Source organism: Homo sapiens, chromosome 19, assembly GCF_000001405.40.
Source record: "Homo sapiens chromosome 19, GRCh38.p14 Primary Assembly".
In the NCBI taxonomy this organism is placed as follows: Eukaryota; Metazoa; Chordata; class Mammalia; order Primates; family Hominidae; genus Homo; species Homo sapiens.
Window position 1 is genome coordinate 34,921,891 of NC_000019.10, and position 25,076 is coordinate 34,946,966.

The 25,076-nt window shown below is 44.0% G+C and overlaps 1 protein-coding gene and 1 long non-coding RNA gene across 11 annotated transcripts; one reads left to right on the top strand and one right to left on the bottom strand.

The window, feature by feature from the left end:
- Nucleotides 1-1,124: 1,124 nt before the first annotated feature.
- Nucleotides 1,125-4,936, bottom strand: ZNF30-AS1 (ZNF30 antisense RNA 1). Its single transcript, NR_110749.1, has 3 exons — nt 4,839-4,936; nt 1,652-1,944; nt 1,125-1,161 (listed from the first exon to the last, which is right to left on the bottom strand). It is a non-coding gene; the product is annotated as a ZNF30 antisense RNA 1 (long non-coding RNA).
- Nucleotides 1,951-23,278, top strand: ZNF30 (zinc finger protein 30). Of its 10 annotated transcripts, NR_024018.2 has the most exons (6): nt 5,013-5,326; nt 7,994-8,066; nt 9,953-10,103; nt 11,738-11,833; nt 20,704-20,783; nt 21,333-23,278. NR_024018.2 is itself a non-coding variant. In XM_017027424.2 (5 exons), exons 2-5 carry the CDS (start codon nt 8,058-8,060, stop codon nt 22,946-22,948), a joined length of 1,875 nt encoding a protein of 624 aa, XP_016882913.1. In that variant the 5' UTR covers nt 1,951-1,969; nt 7,994-8,057; the 3' UTR covers nt 22,949-23,278. The 10 variants fall into 10 exon arrangements, 9 of the variants coding, with proteins under 9 accessions (XP_016882913.1, XP_011525745.1, XP_016882915.1 ...); XM_017027424.2 differs by lacking the exons at nt 5,013-5,326; nt 20,704-20,783 and adding an exon at nt 1,951-1,969 and having other exon boundaries at nt 11,735-11,833; XM_011527443.3 differs by lacking the exon at nt 20,704-20,783 and having other exon boundaries at nt 5,013-5,829; nt 11,735-11,833.
- The last annotated feature ends 1,798 nt before the right edge of the window (nt 23,279-25,076 follow it).

Sequence of the window (25,076 nt, forward strand, 5' to 3'; positions counted from 1 at the left end):
CTCTATTCCACAAAACCGCCATTGTCATCATGGCCCGTTCTCAGTGAGCTGTTGGGTACACCTCCCAGACGGGGTGGTGGCCGGGCAGAGGAGCTCCTTACTTCCCAGTAGGGGCGGCCGGGCAGAGGCGCCCCTCACCTCCCGGATGGGGCGGCTGGCCGGGCAGGGGGCTGACCCCCCCACCTCCCTCCCGGACGGGGCGGCTGGCCGGGCGGGGGACTGACCCCCCCCACCTCCCTCCCGGACGGGGTGGCTGCCAGGCGGAGACGCTCCTCACTTCCCAGACGGGGTGGCTGCCGGGCGGAGGGGCTCCTCACTTCTCAGACGGGGCGGCTGCCGGGCGGAGGGGCTCCTCACTTTTCAGACGGGGCGGTTGCCAGGCAGAGGGTCTCCTCACTTCTCAGACGGGGCGGCCGGGCAGAGACGCTCCTCACATCCCGGACGGGGCGGCAGGGCAGAGGCGCTCCCCACATCTCAGACGATGGGCAGCCGGGCAGAGACACTCCTCACTTCCTAGATGGGATGGCGGCCGGGAAGAGGCGCTCCTCACTTCCTAGATGGGATGGCGGCCGGGCAGAGACGCTCCTCACTTTCCAGACTGGGCAGCCGGGCAGAGGGGCTCCTCACATCCCAGATGATGGGCGGCCGGGCAGAGGGGCTCCTCACATCCCAGACGATGGGCGGCCAGGCAGAGACGCTCCTCACTTCCCAGACGGGGTGGCGGCCGGGCAGAGGCTGCAATCTCGGCACTTTGGGAGGCCAAGGCAGGTGGCTGGGAGGTGGAGGTTGTAGCGAGCCGAGATCACGCCACTGCACTCCAGCCTGGGCACCATTGAGCACTGAGTGAACGAGACTCCGTCTGCAATCCCGGCACCTCGGGAGGCCGAGGCTGGCGGATCACTCGCGGTTAGGAGCTGGAGACCAGCCCAGCCAACACAGCGAAACCCCGTCTCCACCAAAAAAATACGAAAACCAGTCAGGCATGGCGGCACGCACCTGCAATCGCAGGCACTCGGCAGGCTGAGGCAGGAGAATCAGGCAGGGAGGTTGCAGTGAGCCGAGATGGCAGCAGTACAGTCCAGCTTCGGCTCGGCATCAGAGGGAGACCGTGGAAAGAGAGGGAGAGGGAGACGGGAGAGGGAGAGGGAGACCTTCTGAGGACTGTCAACATAAGTTATAACATAACATATATAACATAACTTGTTATGTTATATTGTATATAACATAACTTATAACATAACTTATAGCATAAGTTACATATATGTAACATAGGTTACATAACTTATAACACCTTATAAGTCACTATGTAACTTATAACATTTCCTTTATTATTTATTGTCTGCTTCTCTCAATTCAAATTAAGGTAGATAAATTTCTTTGTTCACACATCTAGAAATGCATCTGCAACAGGGCGGGTGCTCAGTTAGTATTTGTTAAAACACACAGGAACCATGGCTTTACACCTGTTTACTCTCTCTAAATCAACCCTCAATGATTCCTTTCCCTCCACATTTATGATTGTTCAATGTTATCAGGAAGAGAAATAAATCATAATTTGAAGAAACAAAAATTTAATGGTAGCCACAATTATAGTAGAACCATTACCTCAACTGAATTCCTCACATCTCAGAACTCAGGATTCTGTACTTACCTCCCACTGGGACGTATCTTTTCCAGGCATCACAGATAATTTTCTTCTCCAGCTATCTTATGATTCTTTTTGTATAATTTCATTAATCAACATTAACAGCCTTCTAGGAATTGCTCACTTCACAAATGTTTTTTGGAGGTAATCTCAGTTCCCTATGAAGACTCTGTCTCTGCACTTCCAGATGAGAGGAAAATCACTCCCAGAAAGAGATGAGACAATGGAATCCCAAGCCTTTATCTCAGCGTTCGGATGACCTCTCTTGACAAATGCACAAGATAATACAACTGCGGCCACTATCCTAGTTGGAAACACAATTTGGTAAGTGGTTATTCTTTTCAGATAAACGTATGGAACTTAGACGAAATATATTTCAGGAAATGCAGTGAGAAACATTATAAGGGGGAAAGTTCTGCTCTCCTAGATTAGAACATCACTGACAGTGGCCAGAGAAAGTTTCCTGAGGGATCAGGGACTGTCATTTTCCACTGGATGCTCAGATTCCAGCTGTAGGGTTTGTGAGTATCCTTCCTCCCTCTTCCATGAGACAGCCTCATCTGAAATCTCCAATTTACCTCTGACGATTAAACACCTAGACCCTCACTATAGTCACACAAGTCTTCACTCAAAACACAAGGGCATAGCAGTAAGATTGCGATCCTTAGCTGTCATCTATGGAGTGATCACTTTTGAGGGGCACTTTTTGAATAAATCATTTCAAAATCATTTCAAAAATTTTCTCAAAAAAAAAACCCTATGATTTAAAAATTTCTTTGACATTCTAAGTATTCTACTAATCTATTTTATTTCTACCCACCATGGAACCCACATTTCCCTCTGCAAAATACAAATTTCTATTGTATTCACCCCTCACCCCTGAACATAAATTTATCCTCCCAAACAAATTTCTGCCCAGATGACATTTTGACGGCTATTTACACATCCCCATCTCAGAGAGCACATTGTACATAATTTGGCCCTTAATGCAGCCTCTATGAAAAGTCCTTTAATCAGGGGACTAGATGAGTCCTTATTTGTCTTGAATGTCTCTAGTTCCTCCAGGACAGAAGTGATCAGTGACCACAGCCAGTTCAGGAATCACAGGATATTGCAAATTTGTCTCCGATTGACATGAATTGGGTGGATTCTCACTCCAGGTCTATCACCTTCTTATTTGTTAATGAAATATTTGTCTTCAGACATTGTAATAGATACCCAATGAGTTTCAGAGGGTTTGAAAATGAACACTTTAGACATGAATAGCCTATATGGTGAACTTACAGAGGCAAAGCGACTGGTCAACAAACAGCTGCTCTACCAAAAAAGCCTGGAGTTACAAAGCAGATGAACATTTTTGCAGAGCTGGAAACTAATTCCAATAAGGCTAAAAACTTGCTACTGCTGGTAGGGAAAATCCTAACTATTGACAGTCAAATGCTTTTGATGCGAGGCTACTTAGGTTGATGTTGATAAGAGAAAAGTTCCCTTGTCCCCCTGGCAGGGCGTGCGATGGGGGTGTGGCTCGCTTCTTCAGTGTCCCGCTGCTCAAACCTCCAGGGGAGTATACAGACGGGCGGGCTGTGGGGCTCTGACCCCATGGCAGTGTCTAGGGGTGAATGTTTATAGCTGAAGCCCCAGTGGGCGTGTTACAGGATGCTCTTTAGCTGTCCGCAGGCGGCTTATGTTAGTCAATTCAATTAGATCCCTGCGTTATCGCAAGGACAGAGGGCTTTCATATCCCGGGGTTCCTGTCTTGGTGTACCAGAAGAATCAGATCACACATGGGCTTGGAGGATGACTGCAGGGTTTTGAGTGGAAGTAGCTCTCAACAGTTGGGGGAGCCAGAAGGGAAATGGTTTTCCCCTGGAATCGGGCTGCTCCGCAGCACCGGCTCTCCTTGGACTGCCCCAGCCAAACTCCGCGTCCTTCTGGTGGGTGGCCTGCCCGCGTGCCAGCGTCTGTCATGTCTTCTTCCGCCAACATGTTCCTCTGGATGTCCAGCGGCTTGTGTGTCTGCTTGCTAGGGTCTCAGAGTATTTATAGGGACAGGATGGGGGCGGGAACAGGATGGGGGCGTGGCAGGCCAGGGTGGTCTTGGGAAACGCAACATTTGGGCAGGAAAACAAAAATGCCTGCCCTCACCTAGGTCAGTTGGCACAGGGCCAGGGGTGGAGCCCTAGCCAGGGACCACACCCTCCTGTACCCAGCACCTCCCTTTCCCCCTTCCATATCATTTAAAGGGACCCCGCCCTTCCCTCCCCAGCACTCCCCTTCCCCACCTCCTTATCAATGTCATCACCCTGGACTGACTCCAGGAATCACTGTAATGTGGGCTTAATAAGAACAGAGCTCGGCTGGCCGCGGTGGCTCACCCTGTCATCCCAGCACTTTGGGAGGCTGAGGCGGGTGGATCGCTTGAGCCCAGGAGTTCGAGACTAGCCTGGGCAAGATGGCAAAACCCCATTTCTACAAAAAATATACAAAAATTAGCCAGGTGTAGTGGCGCGCCCCTGTAGTCTCAGCTACTCTGGAGGCCGAGGTGGGAGAATCACTTGAACCTGGGAGGCAGAGGTTACAGTAAGCCGAGATAGCGCCACTGCATTCCAGTCTGAGCGACAGAGGGAGACCCTGTCTCAAAACAAAACAAAAACAAAACAAACAAAAAGCGGAGCTGACAGTCAAGGTGAATTTCACGTTTGCCTGTATTCAGTTTTAGCATTACATAAACCAAAAGAAGAATGCCATAAAGGCTACAGGCAGCTAATACAGAGAGGTGTTACTGGAAAAGGAACCAGAAAGAGTAAATATCTCCTAAACGTATGATGGGACAGAAAGATAAATGCCTATTACATATAGTTAATATCTGTTTGATTAGCCTTATTTACATTCTCCTTTTAAAAGGTCTTACATTTAGCATCTTAGATAGAACCCACAAAATTTAAATATTTAATAGAAACTTAAAATTCCTGTATCAGAGGACAGAAATATATTTTTCTCACACGTGATTAGTCTAATTGCCACTATTAATCCTATTAATATTCTGTTAAATAATAGCATTTCTGTAGCGAAAAGCAAACAGTACGGAAAGATAATTTCAAACACCTAGTTTTCATATTTTTGTGTTAAAGTAATAACATATTTTGGTATAGATTATCATTTTTTGTTTGTTTTTGTTTTTGCTTTTTCTGACCTGGTGTGTTAATGCCCTGGGTTGGCCCTCTAAGAAGCTGGCCACCTACTTCGGGCCTCAGGTGTCAGACGCCCCAGCTTCGAGGTCTATGGCTCCCAGCAACTCGAGCGCCTGCGCCTGCGCATTCTCAGCCGGACGGGAGCGCCCAGAAGTCTCCGGGCGCCGGTGGGCGGCCTTGTGGACTGCGCCGGGCATGCTCGGCGGTGTGACGGCTCAGGACTGCATTTCCCAGAGGCTGCAGCTATCCGGCCAATGTAGCCTGAAACTACATTTCTCAGCGGCCACTGGAACGACCTCAATCTCTGCCTCCTCGCCAGTTCATTGTGGTCGTTGACCCGGCAGCGAGCTTTGGAGTTCATCGAGGGAGAAGTCAGCGCCCAGCTCCGAGGTTGGAGCAGCCCCGCCGGGCAACTTGAATTTCTGCAAACGAACACAGCACCGGGAGCTCTGCAGACCTGTGTCGGCGCGGAACCCGGACTGAGACATGCGTGAGCGTTGGGTGGACCGGGCGAGGATCCCGGGCCGGCGAGTGCGGGAGCGGCAGGGCAGGGAGGGTGCGTCGGCCGGGGCCGGTGTGCATCCGCGAAGACTGGGTGCATGGCCTCCATGCGAACCTGAGCTATTAATATTTGTTACTATTTTGGATAAAATCACTGTAATTGATTTATGTAAAGGAGCAAAAGACTCTTCAACTCTCAGTTTAAAAAGGAAACGATAGTTATGATACCTTTTGCATGCAGCGGGAAGAAATGGGATTGCCAGGAAGCCTCTTCTTGTTTGGAAAAAACTGTATAAAGTATTTACACCTTTTAAAGATGAGAGCAATGTCATCTGAAAATTATCAGTGCAGGGAAAAGGACTTCAAAGGATCTGTTGTGCAGATTACTTAACTAATGACAAAATTATGTAAGAAAGGAGAGCAAGATGACAGCTGTAAACATTTCCATCAATCTCCATATTGCACAGAAATAGGACCCAGCTTTTTCTTAAGGTTCTTCAATTTTGCATTATCCCACAGCAGTAGCTCTCTCTCTCTAGCTGCTAGGGGACAGAGGAAATTGAAATGTCAGAGAATCTTTTCTGTTGGTTTTTTATTTGTTTGTTTTTAAAGAAGAGTTGCTCTTAATTTTTTAGTTAGAATTAAAAGAAAGCATGCCAGAGAAACTTACGTTTTAAGTAAAAAGTGGAAACAGGTCGGGTGCCATGGCTCATGCCTGTAATCCCAGCACTTTGGGAAGCTGAGGCGGGTGGATTGCCTGAGCTCAGGAGTTCGAGACCACCAACATGGCAACATGGTGAAACCCCGTCTCTACTAAAAATATAAAAATTAGCCAGGCATGGTGGCGTGCGCTTGTAGTCACAGCTACTTGAGAGGCGGAGGTGGGAGAAGTGCTTGAAGCTGGGAGGCGGCGGAGGTTGCAGTGAGTGGAGATGGCACCACCGCAATCCAGCCTGGGCGACAGAGCGAGATCCCTTCTCTAAAAAAAAAAAAATATATATATATATATATATATATATATATATATAGATAGATAGATAGATAGATACATAAATTAAATTAAGTGGAAACAAGTGTTTAATTAAAATGAAATAAAGGATGTATAATGTTTACGTAATAACTCCAATGCAGTAGTGCCCCCTTAATCGGCAGTTTCACTTTCTTCACTTTGTTACCCTCAGTCAACCATGATCTGAAAATAGGTGATTTTGGTACAATAAGATATTTTGAGAGAGAGGGGCCATGTTCACATAACTTTTATTACAGTATGCTATTATAGTTGTTCTATTTTATTATTAGTTATTGCTATTACTCAATTATGGTGGCCGGGTGCGGTGGCTCACGCCTGTAATCCCAGCACTTTGGGATACTGAGATGGGTGGATCAATTGAGGTCAGGAGTTCGAGACCAGCCTGGCCAACATGGTGAAACCCTGTCTCTAGTAAAAATACAAAAATTAGCCAGGCGTGGTGGTGGGCACCTGTAATCCCAGCTACTTGGGAGGCTCCCAGGAGGTGGAGGTTGCAGTGAGCCAAGATCACACCACTGCACTCCAGCCTGGGCAACAGAGTGAGACCCTGTCTCAAACAAACAAACAAACAGAAAAATAAAAATCTCTTATGGTGCCTAATTTATAAATTAAACTTAATCATAGGTGTGTATGTATAAGAAAAAACATAGTATATATGGGGTTCCGTCAGACATCTACTGAGGATCTTAGAGTGTATCTCCCCCCTGTGGATAAGAGGGAGCTACCATAGTAAGAGCTAACTCGGCTGCGCGCGGTGGCTCACGCCTGTAATCCCAGCACTTTGGGAGGCTGAGGCGGGCGGATCACGAAGTCAGGAGATGGAGACCATCCTGGCCAACATGGTGAAATTCCGTCTCTACTAAAAATACAAAACTTAGCTGGGCGTGACTATGCGCCTGTAGTCCTAGCTACTCGGGAGGGAGGCAGAGGCAGGAGAATCACTTGAATCTGGGTGGCGTAGGTTGCCGTGAGCCAAGATGGCGCCACTGCACTCACTCCAGCCTGGGTGACAGGGCGAGACTCCGTCTCAAAAAATAAAACAAAACAAAACAAAACAAAAGAGCCAACTCATGTTAAGCAAGTATTCTATTAACTTTTGGGGTGGGTTTTCTTATTCTTCAGGACAACCACATGTTGGAGCTGATACTCCTATTACTATTTTAGTGATGAGAAAACTGAGCCATATTAGTAACTGCCTGATCATTTTCTCCTATGTTCTCTACCTCCCGTGTCTTGACCAACCTCAGATTTATACTGTCACCATTAAAGAAGCTCTGGATTGGGTGATATGGACTCTTTCTTAGGCTTAGAACGTGGGAATGGAGTGAGGAGAATCTGTTCAAGAGAAGACTGTGCAACCCAATTTGAGACCTAGATCAACATTCCCAAAATGGGGGCCTGGTGGGAAAGCTTGTGTCTGATTCTGCCTTCCTTAAGAAGTGCCACACCTCTGCGATCAACTCTGTACAGCTTAGTTAACTGGGGCTTGAATTCCACTGTTCTCCAAATTTTGTTTGAGGGTGTTTGTAGCACAGTTTGGAAGCTGAAATGAAGGGACAGGAAGGTTTATTAATGTATGTCATTGAGAACACTAAAGCCTCCTTTTCTCCTCTCTGGATTTTCTAGCTTTTGAACTTCTCAGATAGAGGAACCCCAGTGAAGACTGATCAGTTCTTACAATTCTCAAAGCATGGCCCATGTAAGTTGGTGTTTCTTCTTGAAATATGGGGATTTTTATATTACGTGGCTATTTTCCTTAATTGACCTGAAGCATTCTTCATCAGAATGTACCATCTAATTGCCTACTTGATTCCTTCTGTTTGGCGGAATGATGTCAAAGTATCGTTTCCTCCTTACGAGGTCCTCATTTCTAATCGGTGTTCATGAATTCATTGAGCAAGTTACGAAGCAGGTAAATAGTAAGTCTTAGCTGAAAGGCTGTGATAGAGCAGTGGAGGATTGAAGTCCCGTGGCAGAAGTATTTGAGCTTCCTACATCCATCTGTGGTTTGATGAGTTTGATCTGTTGGCTTCATCTGGCCACACATCAGAAGATTTGAAGTTTTCCACAGAGCTGATAAGATGGAATTTTGTATTGATTGGTCTCAATATGATGAGATAACATGCTCTATGAGGCTTTTAAGATTGAGTGGGGATGTGATTATGATGTGAAACATTGATATCATGGTTCTTCTTGGGATGCCTGAGAGTGATACTAAGGTCAATTTTGTTATGGAATGGGACCTGCCAGACTTGGACAACATGCATTTGGTTCTGAGTCATTTTCACCCTAATCCACTAACTCAAGAACAGCCAAATGGCCAGGTGCAGTGGCTCACACCTGTAAACCCAGGACCTTGGGAGCCCCAGGTGGGAGGATCACTTGAGCCCAGGAGTTCAAGACCAGCCTGGGCAGCATGGCAAGACCCTGTCTCTACCAAAAAAAATTTTTTTTAATTAGCCAGGCATGGGGGCACATGCCTGTAGTCCTAACTACTTGGGACCCTCAGACAGAAGGACACTTGGAGCCCAGGAGTTCAAGATTGCAGTGAGCTATGGTCATAGCACTGCACTACAGACTGGGCAACACAGTGAGACTGTGTCTCAAAAAAAAATTTAAAAAAACAGCAGCCAAAGTATTAAGTGAAGGATCTTGTATGACACTATCAGCATATTGTTATCAGTAGTAGATGAACAGATTACCAGAACTGGGGAAAACTGAGGCATTTGTTACAGTCTTCGTTTATAAGTATAAAATCATTACTTTTTTTTTTCTTTTTTTCTTTTTTTTTTTTTTTTGAGACTGAGTCTCGCTCTGTCACCCAGGCTAGAGTACAGTGGCACAATTTTGACTCACTGCAACCTCCACCTCCTGGATTCAAGTGATTCTGCTGCCTCAGCTTCCCAAGTAGCTGGGATTACAGGCACATGCCACAACGCCCAGCTAATTTTTGTATTTTTAGTAGAGATGAGTTTCACCGCATAGGCCAGGCTGGTCTCGAACTCCTGACCTCGTGTGATCCACCCACCTCAGCCTCGCAAAGTTACTAACCTTTAATACAGATCCACAAGATAACTTTTATGTCACTTTGGAAAAAAGTATTTATTAATATAAGGAAAAACACTTATGATCTGACATAATGAACTTGAAGCTTGAGGAGTTATTCAACAAATTTGTGTCATGGCTATTTTCTAAGACAGATTTTATTCTACAGTTGGAGAAAGGAATCATAGCTATTTTCTTCTTAAAGGGAAAGTAATATAGAGACTAATTGTTTTTGAGAATTTGTTTCATTGGATACCTAGCAGGCCATATCTTTGTATGTACTCTTTTACTTAACAGGGAAACTAGGATTCTTTTATCCATTTCACCACAAATCTGGAGTATTATGATAATCCTACAATATATAGGACATTTTGTCCATAGCAGCAGGATTCTTCCAGAACATGCAGATACCATGCTCATCCACTTGCCACATCATAAGCTTCCAGCCTATGTGATTGTTATGTTATTGCTCCCTTACTACACTGAAACGTTTTATTCCCTCTCCTTTCACCTTGAAAGCATTTTCTTTGATTTTACCAGAAATATGTGGGTTTGCAGTATCACGGATCAGTGACATTTGAGGATGTGGCCATAGCCTTCTCCCAGCAGGAGTGGGAGAGTCTGGACTCTTCCCAGAGGGGCTTGTACAGAGATGTGATGTTGGAGAACTACAGGAACTTGGTGTCAATGGGTAAGTGTACTTCTCTCAAATAATTGAGAATCTGCTCCCTGTTATACTTTCTCCTTTGCAGATTTTAGGGCTAGCTTAAGAACTGAACACGATTTCTTCTTGTTGCCAGAGAAATGATTTGAGCTTTGTTAGGTTGGAAATGATCCAGTGGCAGGATTAGAATTCTGGATTGTCTATTGCAAAACATTGACAAAAGAGGCCAGGTTTTCTATTATGTTTTTGCTCTAAATTGCTCTAAATGCTCTGTGAAAATCTGACCCACCTTGCAGGCAGAACAGCTAGACAAAGGGTCTTGATTTGTTCTATCTGAAGACCTATACAACTTATATGCCGGCGGATTGGATAAACAAATCATTTAAAACTGAAGTTACCTCATTTTATTTCATATAAAATAATCTGATTTTGTGGTTAAAATTCATCATCTCTGAACTTTGCATTTAAGAGTAAATGCAAATTAAATCTATATCCTATAGATATAGATGTCTAAGCAGACTTTGTTTTTGTCTTAGCAAAATAACAATAATAATGTTATTAACACACAGCGTGCTTACTGTGTGCTGTTTCACTGTTCTCTGCTCTTTATATTAATATACATTTGTATTAACTGATTTTTAACCTTACAAGCACTCTATAGGTGCTAACCATTTTAGGTGAGAATGCTAAATAAAGCACAGTGTGTTTAAGTGAGTTACGCAAGATCACACAGCCCATAGGTGACGGTAGCAGAAACTTGAACCCAGGCACTTAGGTTCCACAATCCGCGTTCTCAATCACAATGTCATACTTTCTTTTTTTTTTTTTTTTTGAGACATAGTCTCACTCTGTTGCCCAGGCTGGAGTGCAGTGTAATGATCTCAGCTCAGCGCAACCTCCACCTCCCAGGTTCAAGTGATTCTCCTGCCTCAGCCTCCCTAGTAGCTGGGATTATAAGCGTACACCACCACACCCAGCTAATTTTTGTATTTTTGATAGAAACAGGGTTTCACCATGTTGACCAGGCTGGTCTCGAACTCCTGACCTCAAGTAATCTGCCCACCTGGCCTCCAAAAGTGCTGGGATTACAAGCATGAGCCACCGGGCCTGGTTTTTTATCAAGACACAAAGAATAAATGAGTATACACTTATCTATATTTATAATAGTTAGATAGATAGATAGATTTCATTTAAAATAAAACCTTTCGGCTGGGTGTGGTGGTTCATGCCTGTAATCCCAGCACTTTGGGAGGCCAAGGTGGGCGGATCACGAGGTCAAGATATCGAGACCATCCTGGCCAACATGGTGACATCCGTCTCTACTAAAAATACAAAAATTAGCTGGGCGTGGTGGCACATGCCTATAGTCCCAGCTACTCGGGAGGCTGAGGTGGGAGAATTGCTTGAACCCGGGAAGCGGAGGTTGCAGTGAGCTGAGATCGCACACTGCACTGCAGCCTGGCGACAGAGTGAGACTCTGTCTCTACATAAATAAAACCGTTCTCTACCTGTCTGGAATTATGAATCCCCTTGCCCTTCTCGTGTCTGAGATATAAAGGTCAATATCGTTTGACCTTTCATTTATGGCAAATTTAACCAAAGCTGGAAGTATTTTTGAACTCATATTTTATTTCTTTTCTACATTCTTATCTCATAAGCAGGACATTCCCGTTCTAAACCACATGTGATCGCCTTATTGGAACAATGGAAAGAGCCTGAAGTGACAGTGAGGAAAGATGGAAGAAGATGGTGCACAGGTGAGTAAGAGCATGGCAGGTAGGGAGGCCATTGTTGCTGGAAACAGCCCAGCTGTCAGGGAGGAAGTGCATCTCTGCAATGTTTGGAGGTTTCCCTTCAAAGCCCTAGGGCCTGGGTGGAAAAAGGCTGAGACTTGGGTAAGAAATAAATATCTCACCAGCCTCACAAAAGGAACTTCATCTTTACTTATTTTAATACTCACTCACCTCTTGTTTCCCTCTCATTTTATTACGGACTTAAGTCACTTTCCCAGTGCATTATTCCATCTGTGTATTGAATTTCACTTCTTTCACCTCCTCTTTTACATTTGGATTTATTCATATATTCTTAGACAGTAATAGTTGAACAGAGACAGGAAAAATGAGGGTTCAGGCCTTGTAATTATGTAAGACATGCCAAGCAGAGGGAATAGCAGATGTGGATGCTTTGGGTGGGAATGAGTTTTGTGTGCTTCAGGAGCAGTAAGTAGGCTCAGGCAGAATTAATGGGAGGAGTAAGAAGAAAAAAGCTAGAGTGCTAGCAGGAATTTGAATTTGTTTGTTTTGTTTTGTTTTTGAGTGAGACAGTCTTCTTTTGTCACCTAGGCTGGCATACAGTGGTGCAATCATAGCTCACTGCAGCCTCGAACTCCTGGGCTCAAGCCATTTTCCTGCCTCAGCCTCCTGAGTAGCTGGGACTACAGGCACACACCACCACACCTGGCTAATTTTTTTAATCTTCAGTAGAGACAGTGTCTCACTATGTGGCTCAGGCTGGTCTTGAACTCCTGGGCTCAAGTGATCCTCCTGCCTTGGCCTCCCAAAGTACTGAGATTACAGGTATGAGCCATCGTGCCTGGCCAGGAATTTGGATTATTTTCTAATGTAACTAGAAACTATGACCTAATTTACATTTTTCCAATTTTTGAATTTTAGAAAATTCTAATAAATAGGAAACAGATACCAGAAAAACCATATTAAAATGTACAGCTTGATGAGTTATTATGAGGCAGATACCTTTGTAACCATCACTCTGGTCAAAAGATAAAACATTTTTACGGGGGCTGGGGGACAACAAGAGGGCGAGCATTAGGACAAATACATAATGAACACAGGGCTTAAAACCTAGATGACGGATTGATGGGTGCAGCAAACAACCGTGGCACATGTATACCTATGTAACAGACCTGCACATTCTACACACATATCCCAGAACTTAAAGTAAAATAAAAAATTTAAAAAACAGGCCGGGCGCGGTGGCTCACGCCTGTAATCCCAGTACTTTGGGAGGCTGAGGTGGGTGGATCAGGAGGTCAGGAGATCGAGACCATCCTGGCTAACATGGTAAAACCCCGTCTCTACTAAAAAAATACAAAAAATTGGCCAGGCGTGGTGGCGGGCGCCTGTGGTCCCAGCTACTCGGGAGGCTGAGGCAGGAGAATGGCGTGAACCCAGGAGGCGGAGCTTGCAGTGAGCCAAGATTGTGCCACTGCACTCCAGCCTGGGCGACAGAGCGAGACTCCGTCTAAAAAAAAAAAAAATTTTTAAAAACAATTTTTATAAAATAACGTCAGGCTTACAAAAAAGTTGGAAAGTTGTACTAAGAATTTTCATATACCCTTCAACCCAGATTCTCCAAATGAAGAGAGAAAACTCTTCTACCTTCCCTTAAGGCTTTCATGCCCTGTACCTAATCACAGTTACCTTTCTCCCTCCCTGATTAATCACCTCTAGCCACTTCAAACTTTGCCAGGGATCCCATATTCTCACTCCCAGTCTTACCTGCTCTTCTCAAGTCAGCCTGCTATGCTTATGGACACCTGGTTATTTTGAGGTTCTCAGGTCTGTCAGACACCCCACATTGTCCCCCTCTGCCTTTTCCTGCACAGATGCCTAGACCACACAAGTCTTAGCTGTAGTATTTTGTCTTTGTCTCCTAGAATTTTGCCATTTTGAGGGTACCTCTTCATGTAGTTTTGTTGTATATGTTGTCTATAGTTTTTTTTTTTTTTTTTTTTTTTTTACAGTTTTGCTATCCTGTTTGCTCTGTTTTTATGGGGGTATTTGTTTAAATTCAAAAACAATGCTACCACTTCCACCATTGTGGTAGTCCATTTTCACGCTGCTGATAAAACATACCCAAGACTGGGTAATTTATAAAGAAAAAGAGGTTTAATGGACTCACAGTTCCATGTGGCTGAGGAGGCCTCACAATCATGGCGGAAGGTAAAAGGCACGTCTTACATGGCAGCAGACAAGAGAGAATGAGGGCCAAGTGACAGGGGTTTCCCCTTAGAAAGCCAACAGATCTCATGAGACTTATTCACTACCGTGAGAACAGTATGGGGGAAACCGCCCCCATGATTCAATTATCTCCCACCAAGTCCCTCCCACAACACGTGGGAATTATGGGAGCTACAATTCAAGATGAGATTTGGGTGGGGACACAGCCAAACCCTATCAACCATCATCCTAGTTTATGTTTTTAGATAATTACTCCAGGTATTTGTAGTGGGTAGTCTGAATGGGGGCAAGAGCAGTGCAAGCTGGGGGTCTGAGTGGTTTTGATTAGGATGTTAATGGTGGACAGCGGTGAGAAGGCAGAGTGTTCATCATACATTTTAATGTAAAACCCACAACATGTTGGTGGATTGTAAATGGATATGGAGGCAAAGAGGGAAATCAAGAAGGATCAACAGGTTTGGACTTGAGCAGCCGAATGGTGGTACGGTCACGTGAGATGGTAAAGAAGGAAGGGCAAGTTGCAGGGCAGATCTAAAGGTGTCTGCTTTCCATATGTTAAGTTGGAGATGACTCCTGCTCATCCAAGCAAAGATGCCAAGTGGGCTGTGGAATATGCAAGTCTGGAGCTCAGGGAGAGTTTAGGCTTACACATGAGAACTTGGGATGCAGCTGTGCTTGGTGGCTCATGCCTGGAATCCCAACACTTTGGGAGGCCAAGTTGGGAGGATCACTTGAGCCCAGGAATTTGAGACCAGCTTGGGCAACATAGGGATATCCCATCTCTATATAAAATGTACAAATTAGCTATGCATGGTGGTACATACCTGCAGTCCCAGCTACTTGGGAGACTGAGGCAGGAGGATGGCTTGAGCCCAGGAAGTCAAGGCTGCAGTGAGCTATGATCGCACCACTGCACTCTAGCCTGGGCAACAGAGAAAACCCCTGTCTCAAAAAATAAAATAAAATTGGGATTCATTGGCATTTGGCTGCTATTTAAAGCCATGGCACTGGCTGAGGTCCCTTGAGAGTCAGTGCAGGTAGTGACTATTTTTTTGTCTTTGTTTTTGTTTCTGTTTTTGTTTGAGACGGAGTTTCACTCTTGTTGCCCAGGCTGGAGTGCAGTGGTGCGATCTCAGCTCACTGCAACCTCTGCCTCCCTGGTTAAAGTGATTCTCCTGCCTCAGCCTCCTGAGTAGCTGGGATTATAGGCACCTGCCACCATGCCTGACTAATTTTTTATATTTTTAGTAGAGATGGGGTTTCATCATGTTGGCCAGGTCGGTTTCGAACTCCTGACCTTGGGTGATCCACCTGCCTCGGCCTCCCAAAATGCAGGGATTACAGGCGTGAGCTACTGCACCCGGCCAGTAGTGACTACTCTTAACATTTAGAGGTCTTCTAGAGGAGGCTGCAAAAGAGACTGCCTCTTTTAAGGTAGAATTAAAACCAGAAAGTGGTGCCACCAAAGACAAATGAAGAAAGTGTTTCAAGATAGAAGAGTAGGCCAGACACAGTGGCTTATTCCTATAATCCCAACACTTTGGGAAGACAAGGCAGGGGGAATCACTTCAAGCCAGGAGTTCGAGACCAGCCTGGGCAACATAGCAGGACCCCCCATCTCTACAAAAAGTTTAAAAATTAGCCAGGCATAGAGTCATGCCCCTGTAGTCCTAGCTACTCATGAGGCTGATGCAGGAAAACTGCTTGAACCTAGGAGTTCGAGGCTGCAGTGAGTCTGCGCTCCAGCCTGGGTGACAGAGCAAGACCCCATCTCTTAAAAATAAAAAAAAAAAATAGAAGAATGATCACCTGAAAAGTGAACTAAGCTAAGCAGTGATGAGAATTGACCACAATATATATATATTTTTTCAAGACGGAGTCCCACTCTGTCACCCAGGCTAGAGTGCAGTGGTGCAATCTCGGCTCACTGCATCCTCTGCCTCCAAAATACAAATGATTCTGCCTCAGCCTCTTGAGTAGCTGGGACTACAGGCGCCTGCCACCATGCCTGGCTAATTTTTGTATTTTTAGTAGAGGTGGGGTTTCATCATGTTGTCCAGGTTGGTCTCAAACTTCTGACTTCAGGTGATCCACCCACCTCGGCCTCCCAAAGTGCTGGGATTACAGGTGTGAGCCATGGCGCCCAGTCTGACCACAATATTTAGCCTTGCTAAAGGAGGAAATTTTCAGGGGCACCTAGGGGTGAAAGCCTGACTGGTCTGGTAAAAACAGAATGGGAGGCAAGGCAGTGCCAAGAATGAGCACAGCAGTCCTCTTGAGGCATTTGGTTCTGAAGAGATTTTAAAAAATAATAATAAAAAAATAAAAATAAGGTCACATTCTGAAGTATCGGGTGGACAGGAGTTTGGGGGACACTGTTCAAACCAATACACCTTGTATCCTATCAGTCTCCTTATATTACTTTGAGGATTTTCTTTTTTATTTTTTTATAATACCTCTTAATATCTAGAAGTATTATACCATTCTTAAAAGTCTGGATTTGGGAACTTTTTTTGCATTTTGCCAACTGAGTTAAAAACTCCATAATAATCTTCACCTAGATTCACTAGTTCTTAATAATTTACCACTTTGCTCTATATCTATATATATAAAAATTTTTTGCCGTACCATTTAAGTTGTGCAATTGCAAGACTTTATTCCTAAATACTCCAGAAGGTACTAAGAATTAAGGATATGATTCTTGATAGTCAAACACACGAAAACCCATTTCACCTGCAGTGCCCACCGGAGGTTCATCTTAGGCTCAACTGCGCATTCAGACTAAGACTGCCTGTGGTTGTCTTGGCTCTATCTGTTTGGAAAATGCCATAGCAGGAACCCCAGCTTGCCAGCGGGGCAGCCTCACCTGTTTTGTCAGGCTGCATCCTTACAGTAGTTCACGCAGGATACACTCGCATAGCCCTCCAAAAGTAAGGTGCAGAGAGACGAGACACACACCAGGTGAGTTGGCGAGCTGCCGTGACTTAAAGAAGATACAAGCATTTCACAGAACTCAGTACCCTTAGCAATTCCACGGGCATGGTTTCCAGGGTCCCCACAGAAGACGTGCCATTTAAAAGAGATTCTACATTTAGGGAAGCTCAGAGTATGGAGCTGCCATCAGGTACTTAGAGTTCCACTCAGTCCACATGCAACTTACCTATCAGTGTCTTGTCTCCCCTCCCCTCCCCTCCCCTCCCCTCCCCTCCCTCCCCTCCCTCCGCTCCCCTCCCTCCCCTATCCTCTTTTCTTTCAGATGGAGTCTTGCTCTGTCGCCTAGGCTGGAGTGCAGTGGCGCAATCTCAGCTCGCTGCAACCTCCGCCTCCCAGGTTCAAGCAATTCTCCTGCCTTAGCCTCCGGAGTAGCTGGGCTTACAGGCATGCACCACCACACTGGATAATTTTGTATTTTTAGTAGAGATGGGGTTTCACCATGTTGGCCAGGCTGGTCTTGAACTCCTGACTTGGTGATCCACCCGCTTCGGCCTCCCAAAGTGCTAGGATTACAGGCGTGAGCCACCGTGCCCGGCCTAACTTCTGTATCTTTAGTAGAGATGGGGTTTCACCATGTTGGCCAGGCTGGTCTCAAATTCCTGACCTCAATTGATCTACCCTCCTTGGCTTCCCAAAGGGCTGGGATTACAGGTGTAAGCCACCATGCCCAGCCTAAAAGCTAATTTTTTTAAAAAAAGACATGCAGGTGATGTGTCCAGACTTTTTTCAAGCTTTCAAAGGTGTGCAGGTTTTCGAGCAACACAGTAAGGATACGGAAGGATGCCACAGCGTTATTTCACTACTGCATCATCTTTCTAGGCAGTGCCATCATTCATCCACTTTCCTATTTAGTCTTTCTTTTTTCACATGCTTGGGCATAATTGACAAATAATGATGAAATAACTTAGGATGATGAGACGGAAAAATGTTCCCAGGAAATTTATTCTTACACATGATTCTTACTGGAAAAAATAAGATTACTGTCTCGTAGTAGATTGTAGTTTTATAAAAAGGTGTAGTAGAGCCCTAATTGTAAAATTGAATGAAATTTAGTATATTTTGAAAATAAGTAAGTTTTCTCTTTGTTCTTTTGAAGGCCTTTAAGAAAGACTAAATGTCATGAAATACTAATTCTTACAAATAGTTAGAATTGCTTGAAAAAGAAACTCAAAAACTAAAAATTGACCCCATGGGCCCTGATAGAATACTGAAGGTTAAGACAGGTTCGGGGAGGTATGCTGGTCTCAGTTTTCTTTAACACAGAGATAGGGGATTTCGTTGATTTCTGTTCTCAGTGTCCCCTGTCTCCTTTTTGGTCATGCTTCAGCCTTATCTGAAGATAGGCCGTTATCTTCTTGGGACCATGATTATCCAAATGTACACAACTATGTCATTTCAACCTCCAAAAGTTTTTTTTCTGTTCTTTTATTTCAAATATCATTTGGAGCTGGGCACGGTGGCACACACCTGTAATCCCAGCACCTTGGGAGGTCGAGACAGGCAGATCACCTGAGGTGAGGAGTTCGACACCAGCCTGGCCAACATGGTGAAACCCTGTCTTTACTAAAAATACAAAAATTAGCTGGGTATGGTGGTGCACATCTGTAATCCCAGCTACTCAGGAGGCTGAGGCAGGAGAATCACTTGAACCCAAGAGGCAGAGGTTGCAGTGAGCTGTGATCGTACCACAGCACTCCTGCCTGGGCAACAGAGTGAGACTCCGTCTCAAAAAAAAAAAAAAAAAAAAAAAAATAGAATATCATATGGATTATTTGACAAGAAAATGGTTGCACAATAGCATTTATGACTCTAGGCATTTGAACTCTAGAGTATAGACAAATCCTAAGAGAATAGTTACGATCAGAATTTATAGTTCAGTTCTAGGCCAGGATCAAAGACTTGTACACAAATGCAACCACATGAACAGATCCCATCCCTAATCCAAAGAGCCCACAGAACCAGATATGGAAGAATTATCCCAATTATCTAATTTCCTGATTTCTTATGTCTTTCCTAAATCATTTTAGAGTTTTTAAAGATTTCAGAGGTCTTTAGAGATGTGAGTACAACATTCTTCTCATAAGAATAATATTTCTTGCTTGAAAGGCACGGTACTTTTTCTAAACAATGTATTTTGAACCAGTTGCCTATCCAGTTTCATGGACATGAATTTGTGTCTTTGTGACATTGTCCAGATCTGTTATCGGGATTACAATGCTAATATGGTTCTCCCCATTTTGAGGGTCCTCTTGTGTAGCGTGACATTAAAAGGCTTGGAGGTAGAAGGAAACAGTCCAAAGTTCTGTTTCAGTGGTGACTGAAGTTTTGTTTTGTTTTGTTTTGAGATGGAGTCTCACTCTGTTGCCCAGGCTGGAGTGCAATGGCGCGATCTTGGCTTACTGCAGCCTCTGCCTCCCAGGTTCAAGTGATTCTCCTGCCTCAGCCTCCCAAGTAGCTGGGATTACAAGTGCCCGCCACCATGCCCAGCTAATTTTTGTATTTTTAGTAGAGACAGGGTTTTGCCATGTTGGCCAGGCTGGTCTTGAACTCCTGACTTCATGATCTGCCCACTGGTTTCCCAAAGTGCTGGGATTACAGGCGTGAGCCACTGCACCCAGCCTGACTGAAGTTTTTTGACACAAACTCAGGTCCAGTTTCTCTCCTCTTTGAATTAAGTTATCTAAAGGTCTCTTTTTCTGACAAGGGGGATGAATGGGCCACAGTGATCCTAGGAGATAACAGGAACCATCCTAAAGGCAGGTATTGAGTTCAGTGAGTTAACATATCTAATCCAGTTTTGCAGTTGGTTTTTGTGTACAAACCCAGTGCTTTAGTGGCCACCCCAGTGATCTCGTCCTATGGGCTTATCAAATAATATGGCAATATTTTAAAAGGTGGTAAACAGTTTTGTCTCAATATATCAAAGGAGGCAATGTGTATCTTATCAGCAGATATCTAATGTCTGGCCGTGCTCCTCATTAAAAGACTGTTTACTAGATTACAGTGATAATGGTCCAACCCCACATTATTGAGTATGTTTCTCCTTGTGACTAAACAATAATCTGTGTGATCTTAGTTTATTCTCAAGAAGTACACGTTTATTCAGTTTAGCAGTATATCTTGTCATGGTTTTAACAACAAATGATAATTCTCATTGGAATTATAAAATATCATTCTTTGTATGGAGATATTTTATTACGATTATTTCTTTTGTATAGAAGGCCGGACTCATTGGCTCACACCTGTAATCCCAGCACTTTGGGAGGGTGAAGTGGGAGGACGACTTGAGCCTAGGAATTGGAGACCAGCCTGGGCAATGTGGCAAGACCCCATCTCTATAAAAATTACAAAAAAATTAGCTGGACATGGTGGCACACACCTGTAGTCCCAGCTATCCAGGAGGCTGCGGTGGGAGGGAATCACCTGAGCCTGGGAGGTTGAGGCTGCATTGAGCTGTGGTTGTGCCACTGCACTCCAGCCGGGGCAAGAGTGAGATCCTATCCAAAAAAAAAAAGAAAAGAAAAAAAGAAAAAGAAAACCAGTAGGAAACCAAAGAATGAAGTGCTAGAAAGTAAAGACATGGACGTCCTTAGACAAAGTTAGCAGTTTACCATATTCCTGATAAAGTGACATTTTATTTTAAACATGGATAGGATAAGAAAGCTCCAGTCTACAAACAAAACATGCCAGAAGATTTTTAGGCGATGATGCCACCTGCACATGGAACCAAAAGGTGAGAAAATTTGTAAGAACGTCAAGGTGCTAAAAGGGGGAAATTAGGTCAGTATGGGACAGAGGGAGTTGTGTCTTGATATGAGGTCTGAGAGGTGAGCAGGGACAATATTATCTGTGGAAAGATACATGGATTTTAATGTAAGCGCCACAAGAAACCCCTAGAAGGAACAATAAAATATGGATTATAAAAATTTCATCTGCATCAGAAACATTTGTTAGAAAGGTTGACAGTATTGATGTCCAGGAACTTCCCCTATGTCTGATTCAGAGGGGCGGGATGCTGCTTGAACATCCATTTTTTAACAGGCTCTTCAAAGATTATTATCCACACCTAAATGAAAACTGTTTCACTAATCACCAACCTTACTATTTTACATAAACACTTGTTAATCTCTGCATTCCTTTTTTTTTTTTTGAATTTCATAATGGTGTTTTAATATTACTGAGCTATTTATTTCTAGTTGGTGTTATTTTCAGTTTTTCTCTTTTCTTCCCTAGAATTTTTTTTCAAATAGAAAAATAAGATATTTTTAAAATTTTCTTTCAGATTTGCAGTTGGAAGATGATACAATCGGCTGTAAAGAAATGCCCACCTCTGAAAACTGTCCATCTTTTGCTCTACATCAGAAAATAAGTAGACAGAAACCACGTGAATGTCAGGAATATGGAAAGACCCTTTGTCAAGACTCAAAGCCTGTTCAACATGAAAGAATACATAGTAGTGAAAAACCCAACAGATGTAAAGAATGTGGGAAGAACTTTAGTAATGGACATCAACTCACCATACATCAGAGATTGCATGTTGGTGAGAAACCCTATAAATATGAAAAATGTGGGAAGGCCTTTATCAGTGGCTCAGCCTTTGTTAAGCATGGGAGAATTCACACTGGTGAGAAGCCACTCAAATGTAAGCAATGTGGAAAGACTATTAGTGGTAGCTATCAACTTACAGTACATAAGAGTATTCATACTGGGAAGAAACCATATGAGTGCGGGGAATGTGGGAAAGCTTTTCTAGTATATGGAAAGCTTACCCGGCATCAGAGTACTCACACTGGTGAAAAACCCTTTGGGTGTGAGGAGTGTGGGAAGGCCTTCAGTACCTTTTCATACCTGGTTCAACATCAGCGAATTCATACCAGTGAAAAACCTTACGAATGCAAAGAATGTGGGAAGGCCTTTAGCACTAGCTCACCCCTTGCTAAGCATCAGAGAATTCATACTGGCGAGAAACCCTATGAATGTAAGGAGTGTGGGAAGTCCTTCACTGTGTATGGACAGCTTACTCGACATCAGAGTATTCATACTGGTGAGAAACCTTTTGAATGTAAGGAATGTGGAAAGGCCTTTAGACTTAGTTCCTTCCTTCATGCACATCAGCGAATTCATGCAGAGATAAAGCCCTACGGATGCAAGGAATGCGGGAGAACCTTCAGTCGTGCCTCATATCTTGTTCAACATGGAAGACTTCACACTGGCGAGAAGCCCTATGAATGTAAGGAGTGTGGCAAGGCCTTTAGTACTGGCTCATACCTTGTTCAGCATCAGAGGATCCATACTGGGGAGAAACCCTATGAATGTAAGGAATGTGGCAAAGCCTTTATTAGTCGCCATCAGCTTACCGTACATCAAAGGGTTCATACTGGAGAGAAACCCTATGAGTGTAAGGAATGTGGCAAGGCCTTCAGAGTGCACGTACATCTCACACAGCATCGGAAAATTCATACTGATGTAAAGCCCTATGAATGTAAGGAATGTGGAAAGACTTTTAGTCGAGCCTCGTACCTTGTACAACATAGCAGAATCCATACTGGTAAGAAGCCCTATGAGTGTAAGGAGTGTGGCAAGGCCTTCAGTTCTGGCTCATACCTTGTTCAGCATCAAAGAATTCATACTGGGGAGAAACCCTATGAATGTAACAAATGTGGGAAAGCCTTTACTGTTTATGGACAACTTATTGGACATCAGAGTGTTCACACTGGTGAGAAACCTTTTGAATGTAAGGAATGCGGGAAGGCCTTTAGACTTAATTCATTCCTTACTGAACATCAGCGGGTACACACTGGTGAGAAACCCTTTAAATGCAAAAAATGTGGGAAGACCTTTAGATACAGTTCAGCCCTTAAAGTGCATCTGAGAAAACATATGAGTGTTATACCCTAAGAGTCTGAGGAGTGTGGGAAGTGCTTCGTGTGTGGCTCAAACATTGTTGAACATCGGGGAATTTATGCTGGTAGGAAACTTTCAAATGTGAAGAATATTGGCAGGTCTATTCTCATCTTATAATTCATAATATAACTCAGAAAACATAAGAATATTCCTTTGTCATTTATAGGTTTGTAATACCAATATTTATACTGGTGGACCATTCAGAAAAAGTGGGAAACGTTATTACTTAATGGTTACAGCACTGACAGCATGAACTTTTATATGATGCATTTATTCTAATGTGATTGTATGAACAAGTGAATAAAAAACCTTGGACCTCCTAAACCACTGCTGAACTTCAAATAATTCATTATTTTTTAAAACCAGTTAACAATGTAATGAAAGCCTTTAGCCATGGCACTCACGTTAACTATCATCATTGTTATTCCACTGCCTTGCAGCCAGTTAGATATTAGGCACTACACTTATCACCTTACAGCATTGTTTTAAAATGGTGATAATAGAACCTACATTCTTATTAAAAAAAAAAAAAAAAAGCCAGGCTTGGTGGCTGAAGCCTGTAATCCCAGCACTTTGGGAGGCTGAGGCAGGCGGATCACGAGGTCAGGAGATCAAGACCATCCTGGCTAACACGGTGAAACCCCCATCTCCACTAAAAATACAAAAAAAAATAGCTGGGTGTGGTGGCGGGCACCTGTAGTCCCAGCTACTCAGGAGGCTGAGACAGGAGAAAGGCATAAACCTGGGAGGTGGAGCTTGCAGTGAGCCAAGATCATGCCACTGCACTTCAGCCTGGTGACAGAGCTAGACTCTGTCTCAAAGAAAAAGAGAAAAATTGAGACCTCAATTAAACTGGGCATCTGAGCTGGGCACAGTTCAAATGGGAGGTCGGGAGGCTGAGGTGGGAGGTTCACTTGAGCCCAGGAGCTCGAGATCAGCCTGGGCAATGTAAAGAGACTCTGTCTCCACAAAAAAATAACAAGTAAAATAGAATAAATTGGCTATCTGGCACCTATCAGGGACATGAGAGTTCCATTGGATAGCTTTACCGAGAACCCAGAATTGTGTATTCTGGGAAGGGAAATGTATGCCTTTGTTATTATCAGTAATATCTAACACTGAAGGAAATAAGGAGTTATTTGGCCTTGTATTGTGGCCATAGTATATCTAGAGACATGTGTGATTTACGTTTATATTTTAGGTATCTGTAAGGTAGGAGATTGCTAGAGTTTTTACTCTGAAGTGCACAACTCTTAGGCAATGGCCCAATAGTTTGCAATAAATGTGAAGATGAGGCCATTTGTTGACCAGGTCATCCAGTGCTAAGATGACTGCCTGAAGTTTGGCCAATTGTGTTGACTGCTGGGGACATCCTGTCTAAGATGCAAAGTAGCAAGATTCCACTAATTTAAAAAACAACACACAAAAAATCAATATTTATGATGGTTGGCAGTGTCGTTCATACAGTCTGCAAACTGCTATTGCTGTTTACTTAGTTAATCCCAAGGGTCTCCCCAGGTAGCCAACCAGTCTAGGAGAGGGGGTGACTTCTTCCAGTACCATGGCATGTGGCAAGAGACTGAGGACAAAGGAGACCACCTCTCCTGTAGATGGAATACGCCAGAGGGCCCAGATTTGGCTCTATCCTGTATTAAGGAGGCCTCGGTAGCCATGCCAAGTTTGTAGGTTGCTGTTTCTTGACTCAAAACAAATGGGCAGCTAAGTATTAGGTCTGTGAAAGTCTCTATTTCTAGAAGAGCCTAGTATGTAGCTAGTCAGTTTGTTTTAATGGAGGCATAGCATGATTTTGAGAAGGGCAGTTTCTTGTATCAGAAGCCCTTGGGAAACTTCTGGCCATCAGAGGTGGTCTAGAGACTCAAGGACACATGAGAAGAGGTTGCCAAAGCCTTGACAGTGAAGGGATCTCTTAGGGCGCTAACAAATGTGTCTGTCGATGTCAATGTGGACACATTTTAAAGACTGCTGGGGGGAATCACCCTGTCTGATGTTATGGGTTATTATATAGCTAAGGATACAAGACACTGTGGTACTGGGGAGGGATAAACAACATAGGTCTAAAGAACAGAATAGATAACCCAGAAACGTGCAAAGAAATATAACC